The 17,676-nt window shown below is 37.9% G+C and overlaps 1 long non-coding RNA gene across 1 annotated transcript in view, besides 1 other annotated feature; it reads left to right on the plus strand.

The window, feature by feature from the left end:
- The first annotated feature begins 2,206 nt into the window (after positions 1 to 2,206).
- LOC105371302 (uncharacterized) overlaps positions 2,207 to 17,676 on the plus strand; it is an 82,213-nt gene continuing 66,743 nt past the window's right edge. Inside the window, exon 1 of the long non-coding RNA XR_933656.1 lies at positions 2,207 to 2,303. This is a non-coding gene — a long non-coding RNA (uncharacterized LOC105371302). The remainder of the gene's footprint in view (positions 2,304 to 17,676) is intronic.
- Positions 10,797 to 11,022: a silencer, noted in NCBI's record as "fragment chr16:61407998-61408223 (GRCh37/hg19 assembly coordinates)". NCBI's record gives its function as "represses an EF-1alpha promoter that drives an FKBP-Casp9 reporter gene in an ReSE screen in K562 erythroleukemia cells {active_cell/tissue: K562}" and the evidence as "EXISTENCE:reporter gene assay evidence [ECO:0000049][PMID:32094911]".

Here is a 17,676-nt window from a genome sequence, read left to right on the forward strand (position 1 = left end):
TTCAGAAAACTGATGTGCTTAATACAGTGATGATTCAAATAAGAATTAGGTATTATTAATTTGTTCCATCTCTTTCCCTTTGTCTCTGTCTTCGATGTTCTCTCTCTCTCTCCTTTACTGTCATGCAACAGATAAAGAGAAAGCTACAGAGAATATAAGAACATAGAAAGCTCTTTAACAAGACCCCTTAAAACCTGCTCCAACCTAATTCTCAGCCTCAGTACCACTCTGATACACCTACTTGGTAAAACCCCACTTTCCAAGCTCTCAAATTTCCCAAACTGGTTGCATCATGACACTGTGTCCTGGTACATATCACTTCCTTTTGCATATTTCTGAATTCTACCCTTTGCCTTGAAAATACCTCATCTTCAATTATAGACACCTACAAAGGCTTCTGCTGAGTGGCCCCACAGGACTTTGGTCATTATTAACCTTTGTAATTGTTGTACTGTGATATACTGGATTTTCTAGTAAACTCAGGTCCTACAAGACAACTACAAAATATTTTAATCATTTTTTTCCTCAGCATCTAATCTATTTATTAAGCATTGGTTTAATTCAAGAGGTCCAGCCCCATCCGGGAACTCCTCCACAGGCAAATTTAAAATCCTTCTTGAACTCAGGGTTATTATAGAATTTCCAAAATATTGAGACATTTATAATGAAAATAGCCTATAAATCAATTGCTTCACACACACACAAACACACACAGTTAGGTAACTCTTAATATGCTTATGTAACAACTAATATGTCCATTTTCCAGATAGGGGAATCACCTTCAGAAAATAATCTAAGTTACTCTATTTGCATAGCTAATGCTAAGCAAAAAATGAAGCCTAGGCAGGCTGATTCAGGGTGCTACGCATATTCACATATATATTTTTTTAATCGATAAACACAATAATCTTCCATGCACTGATTTAGTTTCTGTACCACTTTTTAAAGCAGAACTGCACCAGCCACTGTATTCTGCTTTGTTATTCTCAACAATATGATACTTTAAGATCAGAGAAGGCACATACTGAGACCAGAGAAGTAGGCCAGGCCCAGTGGCTCACGCCTGTAATCCCAGCAGATTGGGAGGCTGAGGCAGGCAGATCACTTGAGCTCAGGAGTTCAAGACCAGCCTGGCTAACAGGGTGAAACTTTGTCTTTACTAAAAATTACAAAAATTAGCCAGGTGTAGTGGTGCATGACTGTAATCTCAGCTACTCAGGAGGCTGAGGCATGAGAATCACTCGAGCCTGGCAGGCGGAGGTTCTGATGAGCTGAGATCAAGCCACTGCACTCCAGCCTGGGCGACTAATTGAGACTCTGTTTCAAAAACAAAAAAACAAAAACAAAAACAAAACAAAACAAAAACAGAGAAGTAAAGTAACTTACTCAAGGTCATGCTCCTAGAAACAAGTGTTGGAACAACAATTTGAGTTTCAGCCACTCTGAGTGCAAATCCTGAGGTTTTGCACATACCTTATCCTCAGTGGGAGGCATATTATTATCCAAAGAATCATGATAAATGGAAATATGAATACAATACAACACTACTTCTTATAGCGCTCAGGCTGGTATATCTGCATACAATCACATTTCTTAGAAATATGATGAATCTTTTTGTGTGCATGATTACAGTGATAATAATTTTCCTTCATAAGAGAGGTTGGTTGTCTTTAATTTGCTCACATTCAAGCAATAGCAAATGGTTACCTCTGTACTTTCAAAGTATTTCTTTTTTTTCCTCTTTCCTGTTTCCAGATGGTTTCCTGATTCCTATCAGAATTAGTGTCTGTTGATTACACACTTTTCTCTTGGTGATTCTGCTCTGTGAGTCATTATTCCTAGTGGCCATCCAAACAATTCCACCAAGTGTCACATTTTGCCTAAATTGATACTAAAGCCGTTTAGCATAAGCTAATTAAAGCTTGGCTGTCCTTCCTGAACACGCCACATGACTGATGGCTATGAGCTCTATCGTCATTACAGAGCACATTACTTTTGTAGGTGTGCCTTATAAAGCATTCCACAGCTATCTGTTATATTTTCAGGAGTATGTAGTCTAGTATATGTATTATGTTTAAGAAGAATAGTGATTTTAAATAATGCTAGAATAACAGGATTTGGAACTCCTATCTACAGTTCTTTCCAAATTTTGGCCTCCTTCCCTTTCTCTTCTGATTTCCCTATCTTCTTGTTCTCACAGGTGGAGTGTGGAAAACATGAAACATTTCCTGAAAATGAAATAATAGTATCTGTCAAATGAAATCAAATTCACTAACTCTGCAAGACTAAATGCAATTTTTGAGGTAAATTTTAAATTTTTAAGTGCTTATTTTTAAGAAAGGTTGTGTTCATTCTATTAATCTTTGTTCCAGACATCACAGATTACTCAAATAAGCTGTTACTTGCTAGTGATTTTGGTTTTGAATATTTTCTGGAGAACGGGTTATAGAGTTTAAATTATAAGAGTCTTCTTCAGACAATAATAGTTTTTAATGCTCCTCCTTCTCTGCAAGAATATGATTGGTTGAGTGGGTTGCAGAAAAACTTGGTTTTTAGTTTTGTATAAGAGGAACTCTTAGAATTAGTGAATTGAGTCTTCTCACTGCAGTTGAACAAATTGCTGCCTTAGAAGCAAATGTAATACAAAGAGGGAGGGAGTGGGGAAAGTGGGCTATGGTATCAAAATTGGCTTCAGTTTACTCATGTATAAAATGGGCAGAATGTTATTACCAACTCCTAGGAACAGTGTGAGGAGTCTATACAATAATGCATATACAGGGTTTAGTGCAATTTCTGGAACTTAGTAAGTGTCCACTGAATTAAAGGGATGATGTTGAAGATGAGAGAAGAGGTGAGCACAGTTTCATAATATACCCCCTCTAGTTCTTGTCTTGTCCTACTACGCCACCTAGTAGGACCAAGAACAAGATAGGCTAGTCCTCACTAATGGTCTGCCTTTGTTTTGTGCACAGTTGAAAATGCCTAAGCAAATCTTTTCTAGGTTTCTGCACAACATTGTGAATAAAAACACCTACTTACCTCTTATTCCAAAACCCTCCTTTGTCTCTGTCCTGAAACTCCATTGCTTGCAGAATAGACGAGGTGGTTGAAAATCTGTCTGTCAAATCTGTGAGAGAAAACTGGATTTATTTGCAGTAGTTGAGGATGGGGAAACAAGCAAAATATTTAGTTCCATGGGCCAGGCAAAGTTCTAGCATTGCTCTGCAATGACATTTAAAACCCTTAGCAGTCACCATATGATGTGCTTGATTGGTCTTCTATCTACCTACTCACTTCTTTATTCTCCCTTTACTACTCTGTAGCATAAGTGTTGCTATGCACAGTTAACTGGTCTCCAAGATTCCCTTCCCACACGGTGGCCCTTTGTTTTCCAGTGAAGCCTCCTACCTTGTCGATTGTATATCTGTTTACATTCACACCGTTCTTAGCATTCTGCGGAGAGCCAAGCACTGCTCTTGCTACCAGGGAACAGGTGTGGGTAGAATCTGTTTTGAAAAAATGCACAGTGAAGATGGAACCAACAATTGCAGCTAATGGTGTTCTTTACATGTACTCCTGCTAAATGTAGAAGAATGAGAAACAAGATTAAAAAGCCATATGTAGTTTGCAGATGAATATAAACATTACACGTTTGCATATCATTTACTGATGTCACCATGTCATCTGGTCTATTTTGCCTTAAACCTATGCCTTAAATCTGTCCGCTGTTCTATATTTCCTCTGCTTTACAGTGGACTCTCCCTCATTCATGGCCCATGAATGCAAGCAACAGAAAACAATACTAGTCTCATTAAGAAATAGAAAATTTAGACAAATGGTGTCCTTTGCTCCAAAGTCGATGAGAATCTGAAAGACTCTTTGTGCACAGTTGAAAATGTCTAAGCAAATCTTTTCTAGGTTTCTGCACAACGTTGTGAATAAAAATACCTACTTACCTCTTATTCCAGAATGGGAAATTTAGACTGGGAAAATTACAAGGCAGAACAATGGCCTTTCAAGGGCATGAAGTCTTCCAAGAATAGTGTTCTAGAACTGCAGGCACCACCACTGCCAGGGTGGTTCTGCGTTAGGTGAGAGTGGATCTTAACACTTCTTTGACTTTATGTGTCTCAGTCCTTTGAGACTCAAAGTCCTAGTGGAGCATACTAATGGCTGAACTTAAGTTAAGGGTTGAGCTCCGATTGTGATAAGACAAAAAAGAGAAAGATTCTACTCCCTGTTCAGACTGCAGATCAGGAAGCATGCACTATATCTCTGGAATGTACACAGAATGGAGTTCCTCCAAATTAAGAGAGGAATATTAATTGCATACTGGACAGTTTAAAAAAGTAAAATATTTCTACTTCCACTGACTGTTTTGTTATTTTTTTTCGTCTTTCTCCCCAATGAATTCTGCATGCTGGGTTCAGAGTAAGCATTATAAAATGAATATAAAGACTGGAAGCTCTTTTTCATTCTCTTTGAATTGTGCTTTATAGGGGTATAAACTCTTTAGGATGGTTTGCAAAACCTTTTTTCCATATGACCCTGAAAATGACTCCTACCTAATTTTTTTTTTTTAAGACAGGTTTTTCACTCCAGTTGTCCTGGCTGGAGTGCAGTGGCACAACCGTGGCTCACTGCAGCCTCGACTTTGTGGGCTAAAGTGGTCCTCCCACCTGAGCCTCTGGAGTAGCTGTGGCTACAGACACGCCCCACCCTGTCTGGCTAATTTTTTAACACTTTTAGTAGAGGTGGGGTTTTGCCATGTTGCCCAGGCTGGTCTCGAACTCCTGGGCTCAAGGAATCTTCCTGCCTTGGCCACCCAAAGTGCTGGGAAAACAAGCATAAGCCACTGTACCTGGCCTCCTACCTAATCTTCTCCCAATGCCAGACTCTGAAGGACATCCTTCAAGGTTTAATTAAAATGTTCACTCTTCCTTAAACATGCTATTCCTTTCACAATCTATGTGGTTTGCTCAGGTCGCTGTTTCTCTGGTTAATTAAATTTAAAACTCCTACTTATTTAAGACCCACTCAGAGATTTCTTCTTACATCAGTGCATTTCTTGGCTAACATAAAGATGTAAGTTGGCATTTCCACCTCAGGATTCTCAAAAAAAAATTATGAACAGGTAGCTGTAATGACCCTTAGACAAGTAAACAGAAAAAATGCTACGTTGAGTCTTAACCAGATTTTAGCAACTTGAAGACAATCTTTTTTTTTTTTTTTTTTTTTTTTGAGACAGAGTCTCGCCCTGTTGCCCAGGCTGGAGTGCAGTGGCACGATCTTGGCTCACTGCAACCTCCGTCCCCCGGGTTCAAGCAATTCTCCTGCCTCAGCCTCCTGAGTAGCTGGGATTACAGGCACACACCTCCACGCCTGGCTAATTTTTTGTATTTTAGTAGATACAGGGTTTCACCGTATTGCCAAAGCTGGTCTTGAACTCCTGAGCTCAGGCAACCCACCTGTCTCAGCCTCCCAGAGTGCTGGGATTACAGGTTTGAGCCACCGTGCCTGGCTCCATTTTTTTACTTCCATTAAGAATACAGAATAGTTGGGATAGGCAAGATAATGAGGGTATTAAAGTGTTATAGGAGATGGTTACACAACTGAGTGATGAAACATTTTTAAATTCTGACAGGAAAATAAGTACATACATTGGGAAATATTAGAGGCAGAAGAATAATTTAGAAAGTAGTTCAGATAATAGATTATTGGTAGCAGCAATGAAGGTGAAAAAGAGGAAGAAAAAGAGATATTAGGTTGAGAAAACTGAGAGAATTGGGGTTTAAATTCAGCATCCAGAATGTTTACATTGAAATTCATTTAAGTCAACTTTTAAAAATTTAGCTTGTGTGAGACCTTTTAACTGCAAATCCCTACCTCTATCCCAAATTGATTGTTCAGGCAAGTTGTTTATGTCAGGAAATGACACAACGTGGTGGAAACACCAACATCTGTTTCTGACAACTTGCAACTAACCCTCAGCCACACAGCGAAGAGATTTTGAGACCTCTGGATGATCCACATCATGGGGCATTGACACGGAAATATCAATTTCTGAATCTTATCTCACAATAATTCTACACTGGGGGCTTTGAGCATGAAGATTCATCCTGGAGATAATTGCAGTGAACGAGAGTTATACCTTGGAAGATAAGATCCTATCATCAGTATGGTGACTGACAGTAAATTATAGTGGTGTTGATGACACATCTATAATTACATTACAAATATTTATCTCCCAGAAATCCTTCCTGAATCGCTTCTCATATATGACTTCTCCTCCCCTCCTTTCCTCTGCTGAGATCAATTGCGATTGACATCAAATTTCTAGTCTAAAAAAAAGCTAATTTGATTAAAACTTGGATAATAAATGATCACTTGCGCTGAAGGCAGTTCTTCCTGGTTTTTAAAGGCTCCTCTGTAAATAAAGTAGAAAATACGGGTAGAAATGTCGTCTTACTGAAATCCGCATAAACAGAAAAGGAATTGCTGAGAAAGTTCTCCAGCTGCAACATTAAACTTAACCAACTATTTGTTGTGCAGTTTTACAATTTAACATGCATTTGAGCTCTGGTGACATGTGCTGGGCACATGGGTTAGTTACTGAGGTCATAATCACATCCAAATTAATTTTCGAATTTTGTCAGTTCTATAAAATAATCTTTCAATTTCTATGAAATAATCTCTTAACTCTATCCCTTTGTATCTAATTGTATTAGGCTAGCTGCTTTTTAACATTGTTCACCTGGATTATTGCAACAACTCTTTGGCCTTTATGACTCCAATTGATATGTTTTGCTATTATAGTAGATCCAATCATAGGCATTTTGACAAAGATATCTATGTTTAGAAGGTAAGATGGATTTTTATTGCCTACTAATTATCTGAAATCCAAACTCCCTACTCCGGCCTCTATCTAGTGTGTAATGAGAATTCACTGTTTGTCAGTTCTGTGGTTTATAATAGAAATTAGGACTGTCAAATAAGGTATCCATTTTTAATCCCAACTTGTAGGAAAAGCAATTTCAGGTTTACCCTTATTACTTCAAATTGCATCCCACAACAATGTTATGACCCAGGTACAATTATTATGCTATGGATACAGGTGAGAAAACTGAGCACAAAAAAGTTATACCAAATCACATTCTCACAAACCAGCACAGTTGCTATTCAAATGCGTGCTGTAGTATTTTTAAATCTAGTTTCCATTTGCTTGAAAAATCCGTGCTTAGTGCAGAGAAATTCCTGATTAGGAAGAAGGCAGCAGTCTTTTTTATTTTTTTAAAAACATTTGGGATTCAAACTTATTGTTTGCCTGTTTATTTGAAAATGATCTGAATAAATATGAAACTCAAATACATATCTTTCACACTGTGGCATTTGTGGTCTTGAGTATACTCAAAGTGACAGGAAGGAAGTTGCTAATAATAAGTAATATGGGTTGTATTTGCAGCTGGGCACATTACGATACACCAAAATATTTCCTCACCATTTTTCTAGGTTATTGTCATTTCTTTCAAGAAATCAATGCTACCGAAGATGGATGACAGCAGTGACCTGACAGGTGTGATTGTGTTGTGAGTGAGAGATCTTTCTGTAGATGAGTTTTTAAAAACTGCAATTTCCTCTCTAAGAACAAAGGTCATGCAATTCTCTGAATTGCCAGGCAAGAGCCAGGGTGCCTTAGGTGATGGTGCCACTCCTACTCTCTTGGAAAAATTAAGACGTTGATGGAAACAGGTGTAATTAAATGTTTAGTGATGACTTTGCCAGAAGAAATTCCTTTAAATTAGACACTAATGTGATTCCTTCAGTAACGGTATTTGGAGTTATCTGCAGGTGGGGGAAGATAGACCACAAAAGGAATTTGATTTTTCTTGTCATTAATTTTTAATTTGCCTTAAAGCCATCTTTAGGATTTCTTTATAGTTCTCACAGTTTTCCTTTGTGTAAGAGAAAGCATTCCTCCTTATCAATGCAACAATAAAAATGACTATTTATTTCCCATGTATCGATCTCAGCATGCTTTGTGTAGACTCTCAGGCTTACTGTGAGTCGGCAAGGGGAGAGAAATCTGTGTTTTGTGCCTGCTGACCTAAAAATGAAGAATATTCAAAGCCTGGCAATAAAAATTCAACTGAAGGACAGTGGGTTTTCCTTGGATTGTTCACTTAAGATATGACATGAGGAATATATGGATCAGACTCAGAAAAAAGCTATACAGCCACATCTATATGGCTTGCCAAAGTTACTTACTATTTTTGGTTGTCTCTTTTGCATTCCTTACATACTCATTACTTCTGGCTTTCATTCTCTCTCACAATGACTATGATAATAGCTTCCAAACTGGACGCTTGGTTTTGCCATATACCGATAATTTCTGCACATGTCCACTGGAGTGGTGCTTCTAAAAGCACAAATTGAACATGTTAGTCCTCTACTGAAATTCTATTAGAATTTCTATGTTGGTTACAGGCTACATTTTACATTCTTAAGAATGCCAATCCAAGTCTGCTCCTGGTTCACCCTTCTAATTTTGTATCATGCATTATGATACTTCTCTAGTTACATTGTGAAGAATCCTAAATCAAGCCACTTTAAGAAAATAGAAATTCTAATGAGAAGTATATAGAGTTTGTTACTGAGTTGAAGTTTCAGTAACTAAATCCTACAAAAGACAAGAGTACTATGGGGTACAGAGATGAAAATCCTGCCTGGTCTTTCCCTGGCATTTGTCTCTGCCTCCCACTGTCTGTTGTTCTTCCTCCCTCACTGAACACCAGCTTCTCCCATGTGGTGTGTTGAGAAGCAGTTCTGCCAATACATGCAGAACCTCATGGTCTTTAGCTTCTGTCACTAGAAATAGATACTCTTTTTTAGAGTTTTATTAAAGCAAAAAAAAAAAGAAAAACTAGAAAGTACTCTAATTAATTCACCTGGCTCTCTCATCTATTAAATCCTGTATTAATTGGCTGTAGAGTGGACAAGAGCAAGGTGTTATAAAAATTTTTGAATCCCAGCTGCAACTTTTGGTTAAAATGAGAGACAATTTATTCAAAAATAAGAGAGGGTAAGGAGCAGGGAAGAGAAAGAACGGCTTAAACTTAAAATAGATAAGTTCTGTTTATCTATCAGGACCCTCCCTAGGAGTCATCCCTTATCAAGACTTGTTTCTACTCCAGCCCTTCAGGAGAGCTTGGATATATCCTCTTCCATATCCTGAAAATTCTCTATTTTGATATTGCTTGGTAACTTACTTGGTAACTTCTGTTTTCTAACAAAGGAATGAATTTTTGAAATAGAGAGAGGATAAGAAACTGGGTTACAAGATTTCTTTTTAAAATTATTCTTAAATTTATACCTATATATCAATATCTATATCTATGAGCATGTATTGGGGCAGGTCTAGGAGAAGGATGATACCAAATTTATAGCACTGCTTTTGGGGAAGTTTAACTTTTGTTTCTTTTTGTAGTGGGTTTAAGTATGACAGTTTAGCTACTACATTTTTAGTTTTACTCTACTTTTTTCTACTTGGTGCTATAATTTAAACATTCTACGTTATTAAAAATACTTTGTGAATATTTATAATGGGCACATAGTGCCCCATCATACAATATACTTAAAAAATCCCTTGTTGTTGAAATTTATTTATAGTTAATTATATTTTTAAGAATACTGGACAAACATTTTTAGGTCAAGCAATTACGTTATTTAAGCTTCTTCTCTGAACATATATTTTTAGATCTAGAATTACAGGGTTAAGGTATTATGTATTTTAAGACAATTTATGTTGACAAATTATTTTCTAATGTATAATTGAGCATAATGTATAAAAGTATTTGTTTTCCTGTAGATGTACTATAATTCTGTATTATTGTTTTAAGCAATGATCTGATGATAGAATAATGAATATATCGTTATTTAAATTTAAATTTATTTATTTTTCATAAGGTTACATAGTTATCCAGACATATGAGAAGCACTAATTTCTTATTGTCTAAATTTTACATGTCAATTACCATTTCAAAAGGGCTTTCAGTGGATTGCTATACAAATCATTTATAGAAATATTAAGAATATTAATTATATCCAGAATTATAGTTTTGTGATTTATTTGTAGCTTTAGTGGTCATCTGGTTATATTTTTGTAGTTGTTGTATAAATATTTCACTACTTCCAAAATTTGAAAGGTGTTTTTTTGTACACAAATAATTTAATTTAAAGGCAAAATTGCAAAATATATTCTTTCTGGAATAATAACACTATACCAAGTGATATGGTTTGGCTGTGTCCCCACCCAAGTCTCATCTTGAATTCCCATGTGTTGTGGGAGGGACCCAGTAAGAGGTAATGGAATCATGCGGACAGGTCTTTCCTGTGCTGTTCTCTTGATAGCGAGTAAGTCTCATGAGATCTGATGATTTTCAAAAGGGGAGATTCCCTGAACAAGCTCTCTTTGCCTGCTGCCATCCATGTAGACGTGACTTGCTCCTCCTTGCTTTCCTGCCATGATTGTGAGGCTTCCCAGCCACGTGGAACTGTAGGTCCATTAAACCTCTTTCTTTTGTGAATTGCCCAGTCTCTGGTATGTCTTCATCAGCACTGTGAAAATGGACTAATACACCAAGGAATTATTTTATATATTTGGACAGTGAGACAGTATAATTCTATGTTTGGATTTGGACTTTGCCCACAGATTTCTCTTTTAAGAACTGGAGAGATTATAAGGGCTAATGAAATGTCTCAATGATGAAAAGAGCACAGGTATGGAAGAAAGAGGAACTGGAATATTTTTTCTTGCTCCATCCTTGAGTAGTCACTGCTTTCCTCAGGGTCAAAATTCCTTCACAGTTAAAACAAACAAGCCATGATGATCACCATCAGGATCCTTCCAGCTGAAACATTACATGGTTCTATGGTGATAACATTGCTCAGCAAATTGCCTGTCACAGTAAAGACACAAGGAGACATGGGACAAGTATGCCAACCACTTGAAGTGGTCACTATCCTGCAATCAACATCCAAGTGCTTGTTTTCTTAAGAAATTTTTGGCATCACCTGTATTCATTTCCCAGGTCTGTAGTAATAAAATACCACAAACACCATAGCTTTTAAAAACAGAAATTCAGTCTCTCAGAGTTCCAGAGGTGACAAGTCTGAAATCAAGGTGTCAGTAGGGTCATGCTCCCTGAGACTCTGAGTCAAATTCTTTCTTGCCTCTTTCTATCTTCTGGTGGTGGCTATTGATCTTTAGCATTCCTTGGCTTGCAGCTGCATCATTTCAATCTCAGCCTTTGTTGTCACATAGTATTCTCCCTGTGTCTTTGTTTTCACACTGCTTTTTCATCTTTTATTAAGAGTGCCAGGCTGGGTGCGGTGGCCCACACCTGTAATCCCAGCAGTTTGGGAGGCCAGGGCGGGCGGATCACTTGAGGTCAGGAGTTCAAGACCAGCCCAGCCAACATGTTGAAACACCATCTCTACCAAAAATACAAAAATTAGCTGGGCATCGTGGCACGTGTGTGTAATCCCAGCTACTCGGGAGGCTCAGGAAAGGGAATCATTTGAACCCAGGAGGCAGAAATTGCAATGAGCTGAGATCACTCCACTGCACTCCAGCCTGGGCAATAGAGTGAGACCCTGCCATAAAAATAATAAGAAGAAGAAAAACAAGAATGCCAGTCATATTAGATTTGGGCTCACTCTAGTGACCTCATCTTAACTTGATTGAATCTCCAATGATCCTATTTCTAAAAAGTCACATTCACAAATACCATTGGTTAGGACTTCAACATATCTTTCTAGGGACACAGTTCAATTAGTAACATCTCCCCCCTGCCCATATGTGCGTATTTTTAGTGAGTTATAGATGCTCCATTTTCTCAATTCCAGAGGGAAGGATAGGGACTGAGTGTGAAAAGCTATGGACAATTGCTGCTTGTCATTGCAAATCATCTAATTCACATGTGACACTGTGATAAGTCTTGGCACTTGCACCACACACGGAAAAACTCATAGGTGAGGGAGGGGTGGGGGTGAAGATAGAACTGAGGAAGATATGTCCAGAAGAAAATTGAGACATTAGGGATTGACTTCAAATTCTATGCCAAATTTATTGTACTGAGCAAAATAGACTTAACTCCTCTCTGAAAATACGTGAGATTTAATAGGTTAATCAAAAAGTGGAAAAGGATTTGACTTAAAGTTATATGACTTAAAAAATGTATATAGCTTAAAGTTTAGATCCTAATGGCAAGACTCTTCCTATGTTATTTAATAACGGAGACTTCATTGCCTTTTCCATACAATGAAATAATAATCTCCTTCTTTAAAAGATTATTAAAAAATAAATATATAAAATATGTTTTTTAAAAATAAGTAATTTTAATTTTTACTTATGCTACTTTCCAAAAGTGACTTCTTTAATCTTTTCCCAGTGGATTGGTGACTCCCTGAGGGTAGGAACATTTTTATCTTTCTGTCTTCTACATACATACCAGTACATGAAATATAGTCAGCTCTAGGCCAGTACAAATCAAATAACTAAAAAAATAAACAATTCAACAAATTGTCCCCAGAATATCTAGGTGATCAGGAAGAGACTTAGAACTACAGTTAGGGAGATTCCAACATGCTTGTTCTTTTCATTATGTGTGTCCCCAAAATGGACAGAATGTAAAGACATTGACAAGAAGAAAGGAAATGACTTAATAGGGGATGTTGATGCCAGAAAATTTTTAAAAAAAAGTAGTATATGAACTACAAAGAGGCAAAGCAGGGCCTTGGGGAAACTCATAAATTGCATGCATGTTTGTAGAAGAGGGCACAGGTGTAATGGAAGCAGTTTCTTTCCATTGTAAAGCTTAATTAGACACGATGTCATCTGTTCCCACTCACATTTGACCCACTGGAGTATTTATGATGCCACTTGTGCTCCTTTCTTCATTCCTGTGCAGGTGAACTGAATCTGAAGAGGCATCACAGGGTTATTAAAAAGGAAAAGTTGGAGAGTTTTTCAGTGTTCATTCTCCATACCCAAGCTTGAATTTTGAGAAAATTTTGAGAAATTGGCAGTTATTAAGCTGCAAAAGAGGCTGCTCTGGGAGGGGACTAAAGGTCAGCTGCCTATTGGGTCTAGCATAGGTTTTCCAGGGTGGGGAAAATCAGTACACTTAAAAACAACTGGAAGTTAAATGCTTTTCTGTTACCCAGTCTAATGACTCCAGCTGACTTTGCTTGAATGATCATTCTTCCCTTTCCCCTGCTTTATCTACTTATTTTTGTGTGTGTGCCAGTATCTGATATCAGCTTTCTAGGATGTTCATAAGAGAGAGTTCTGTTGCTGGAATTGGGTTGGTATCCCAGGGCCTTTCTATTTTCCCTGTCTGTTCAAGACGCAGGACAAAGCCATTCAATGAGGGAAGGGAGATAGGGATGACTCTGGGAGCCAAGAAGGGCAACTGATATTTATAAAATTGAATTACAGTTGTTACCTCAATAAATCCTCATATCAACTCCACAAAGTAGATGTTATGATCTTCCCTTTAGAAGTCAGGAAAATGAGACTCAGAAATGTTGAGAAACATGTTCTCTTCTACAAAATGTGATGTGGCAGAGCCTAGTATTGACCCAGGTCTTTGGACTCTTTGTGCTGTATCTCCTGCCCATGGGTCAGTGGAAGCCTTGTGTGCTAAAACCAAAATGATTACTTAATACATCCTATGGGAATATAACTGTGATAGTGGGTAGTCTAAGAATATAAGCATGCAAGCCATTAGAGCTTTGAGTGTCTATTTTGTATATCGTCTGACCTATTTCTAGCAGAGTACCTGACACAGAATAGATACCTCATACAATTTTGTTAAATGAATTCATGAAGGCCCCAAACCAACCTTAATACCTATTTTCCAAACAGACAGTGATGGCATCACTAAATGACAATGCTAATAAGGATTTGTCTTTTGAAAGAAGAAATCAGTGTGAAACAGGAATTCAAAGGCAGTGGTCCCTCCTGAATGAGTCTATAGGAAATGCTTCATAGAAGAGGCAAAAAGTGAACTGGCTTTGAAAAACAAACATGCTATAAGTAGAGATAAAAGATTTTGATGGAAAAGGCTTTCTAGGCTTTTGGCAGAGAGAAACCCATGGGCTCATATTTCTTGAGTATCTCTTGTATGACTGGAGTGGCAGAGATGTGTATTAAAGGCTAGTGCCTTTCCAAGACACCTGGATTTGTTTCCTAGGTGAGCTGTAACCAGGTACTACTAAGGTTACTTAAAACAGTAGAAATGTATTATCTCATAGTTCTGGAGGCTAGAAGTCCAAAATCAAGATGTTGGTAAGGCCATGCTCTCTCTGAAGGCTCTAGGGAAAATCTTTGCCTGCCTCTTCCCAGCCTCTGTTGGCTTCCAGAAATCCTTGTCATTCCTTGGATTGTAGATGCCTCACTATAATCTCTGCCTCCACTTCACGTGGCTTTTCCCGCTGTGTGCCAATGTCCAAATTTCCATCTTCTTATGAGGATTTATAAGGAGATTTATAAGGATTTCCATCTTCTTATAAGTCACTGGATTAGGGCTCAACCTACTCTAGTGTGACCTCATCTTGACTTGATTACATCTACAAAGACCCTACCAAGTAAGGTCAAATTCACAACTTCCAGGTGAACAGGAATTGGTGAGAATGGATAGGGGGGCTATCCAACCCAGTACAAACACTAGGGTCACTAAAACAGTAATAAAGCAAGGATTGAATGAAGTCAGTGCGACCTACATTTCATGTGACCTGTATATTTTGGGATACTTGTGTCCCAACTAATTGGAATTTAAGGTCTGTCAAAACATTGCATTATTTCAGCACAACCCCCACTGCTGTCTGCCAGTCACTTCAGCAAACATCCTTCTGGTTCTCTTTCCCAGTGTTTCCTCCTGCTGCTCTGGTACTCACAGGAGGCTTTAATGGACACTAAATCCTCCCTGCCCTATAGTCACTAAATCAGGCTCTTAATAGCATCCTATTAATTGTATAAAATAAGGATTTGAAGCAAACCAGAAAGGTTTTTTTTTTTTGCATTTTAATTAAATTCACATTGGTTTGAAAAATCAGATTTATTGAGACCTTAACAACCACACAACACACATAACTGGGTTGTTAAGTCTCAATAAATATTTTTGAGAAATCAATTGACTTTTGATTAACAACAATATCTGTTTTAATAAATCTCAGTGAAATAAGATGTTGAGTATAGATAGACAGACATTTTAATTAAGCTGGGCTTCTTTACTCTTACCCCTAAATGCCTTGACCCAGAATTGCTTATCTCAGACTTTTTTATTTGGGAAAAGAAAAAATATATCTTTTCATCTGTTTTACCAAAATGGGTGAATAAAGACAATGTCGTTTCTGAAACTGCATGGAGACTGAATAGAAGCTTCTTATGACTTTAGCTTCTCAGAATCTGCACCTTCTCAAAGAAGCCTTCCATGACCACCCTGTATAAGATGTTTTATCTTTCCAAACCATGTGTGTTTTCTTCACATACTTTACGTAATTTTAAATCATGTCATTTAATTATGCACTTACTTGTTGGCTACCAGACATTGCTTCCAATTGTAAATTCCCTAACAACAGCAAGCATAACTGATGTGTCCATCTTTGTATTCCTAAAACAAAGAAAAGTGCTTTTTGTGCATCTGCCCCTCTCTGTCTTCCTCTGTTTCACCTCCTGTATTTCCCTATTCAGCATTCAATGATTAAATCATTATCAGCTACGGGTCTGTGTGCTGTACCAAAATATGAGTTACTTGACACATTTGGGAGCATCTCATATTCTGCTCTAGTTCCAGCCTCCAACACTAGGCCTTGTGCTCAAGTCCAAATAAACATCAATAAATGTTTGTTGAATGAAATAACATGTCTGATATGAAATATTGGAGTCAAGTCTGTAGTCACAGAGCTTCCCTAGGCTTCTGTCATTCAACCAGGAGGGGGGTCCCTCTACACCCTTGAAACTCTTCATCTATATCTGAATCCACCTTAAGAATACACAGCTATATTTCCTAAAAGCTTGATCTATACCCTTTTGTCTGATATTGATAAACTGTTGACACCTTGCTTCACTGGACATGTAAAAATAAATTGCACCCAGCACACCATAAATTACCGCCTCAGAGTCATTTGTACAATGTCAACACTCTGCAATAGGTTGCGGCAATATCCACTGGAGAGGAAAAAACAAGTTGAAAAGGGCTGAAGCCACTATATCTACAAATCTCTTCCAGGAGACACCAGGCAGACAAGAAGAGGAGGTTTGTTCTCACACAAGTTAATAAAACTAAAATGTCTTGGCTTCTAGGGAGTCACTATGAATTGTTATTTCAAAAGAATAGGGCTGCCAGATCTATACTCAGGTGACAATCTGAGTATATATCTCGAGCAGTATGTTTGGCAAAAATGTTACAGTATTCCATTACTTATCGTATAATAACTCTAGAAATTAAATATAGTTAGCTCCGTTTCACATTGAGAAAACTAAGATTCAGTGAGAGGCTACAATCTGCCTAAAGTCACACAGAAAGTAATGCATTCAAGTAAGTTTTGAACTTAAGCCTTGTAACTCTAAATAAAATACATTTTGCTTTAAACTCTTCTGATGAATGTGATGATATAGATTGAATGTGCAAGCAGATCCTAGCCTAAAAAGAACAGTTCCATATTTACACAGCTAGGTGGAGGTCAGTCAAGGAAGGCCAAAGGTCTAGGCCAAATATTTGACATCTACTAGATGGTAGATCAACAAATAGCCCCAGGCGCGGAGGCTCACGCCTGTAATCCCAGCACTTTGGGAGGCCAAGGCGGGTGGATCATGAGGTCAAGAGATCGAGATCATCTTGGCCAACATGGTGAAACCCCGTCTCTACTAAAAATACAAAAGTTAGCTGGGCATGGTGGTGCATGCCTGTAGTTCTAGCTACTCGGGAGGCTGAAGCAGAAGAATTGATTGAACCTGGAAGGGAGGCAGAGGTTGCAGTGAGCCAAGATCGCACCACTGCACTCCAGCCTGGCAACAGAGCAAGACTCCATCTCAAAAAAAAAAAAAGAGAGAGAGCAGAATTCATACACATCACAGAGATAAGCTAAGTCATATCTTGTCTCCATTAAGCAACCAAGATCTTAAGTGATTGGGTGAATTGCCCATGGAGAGCCTGGAACTCCAGCCTGGTACACATCGTAAAAATATCTCTTAAGTAATAGCCATTTATACCAACAGGAATTGTCCATTTAGCTAAAATCCCAGTCCCCAGCCTCAGTCCTTTGGGTTGATAACCAGACTTGTCAGTTGGTTACACCTTTTTCTTTCACATTTCTTCCCCTCATTCCCTTATCACCATCATCTCTTGATGGGCAACCCCGAAAAGATTGTGGAAACGTCTCCCCTTGAATTTGCTAGCACAATCTACTGATTGCCTGATATACGTGTCTGTTCAAAATGTGGCACAAATGTTTGGTTAAAGATAATGACCCAGTCTGAAAATGACTGTGATAAAAATGTCATGTAATTTTCCAGGGTGACTTTGAAGTAAGGCTTACCATATAAATGTGGAGGATTGAGAGAGCCAGCTATTATTTTCTTCCTTGATGAGCAATAAATTGTTGCCTCCTCAG

This window comes from Homo sapiens, chromosome 16 (assembly GCF_000001405.40).
Source record: "Homo sapiens chromosome 16, GRCh38.p14 Primary Assembly".
Lineage (NCBI taxonomy): Eukaryota > Metazoa > Chordata > Mammalia > Primates > Hominidae > Homo > Homo sapiens.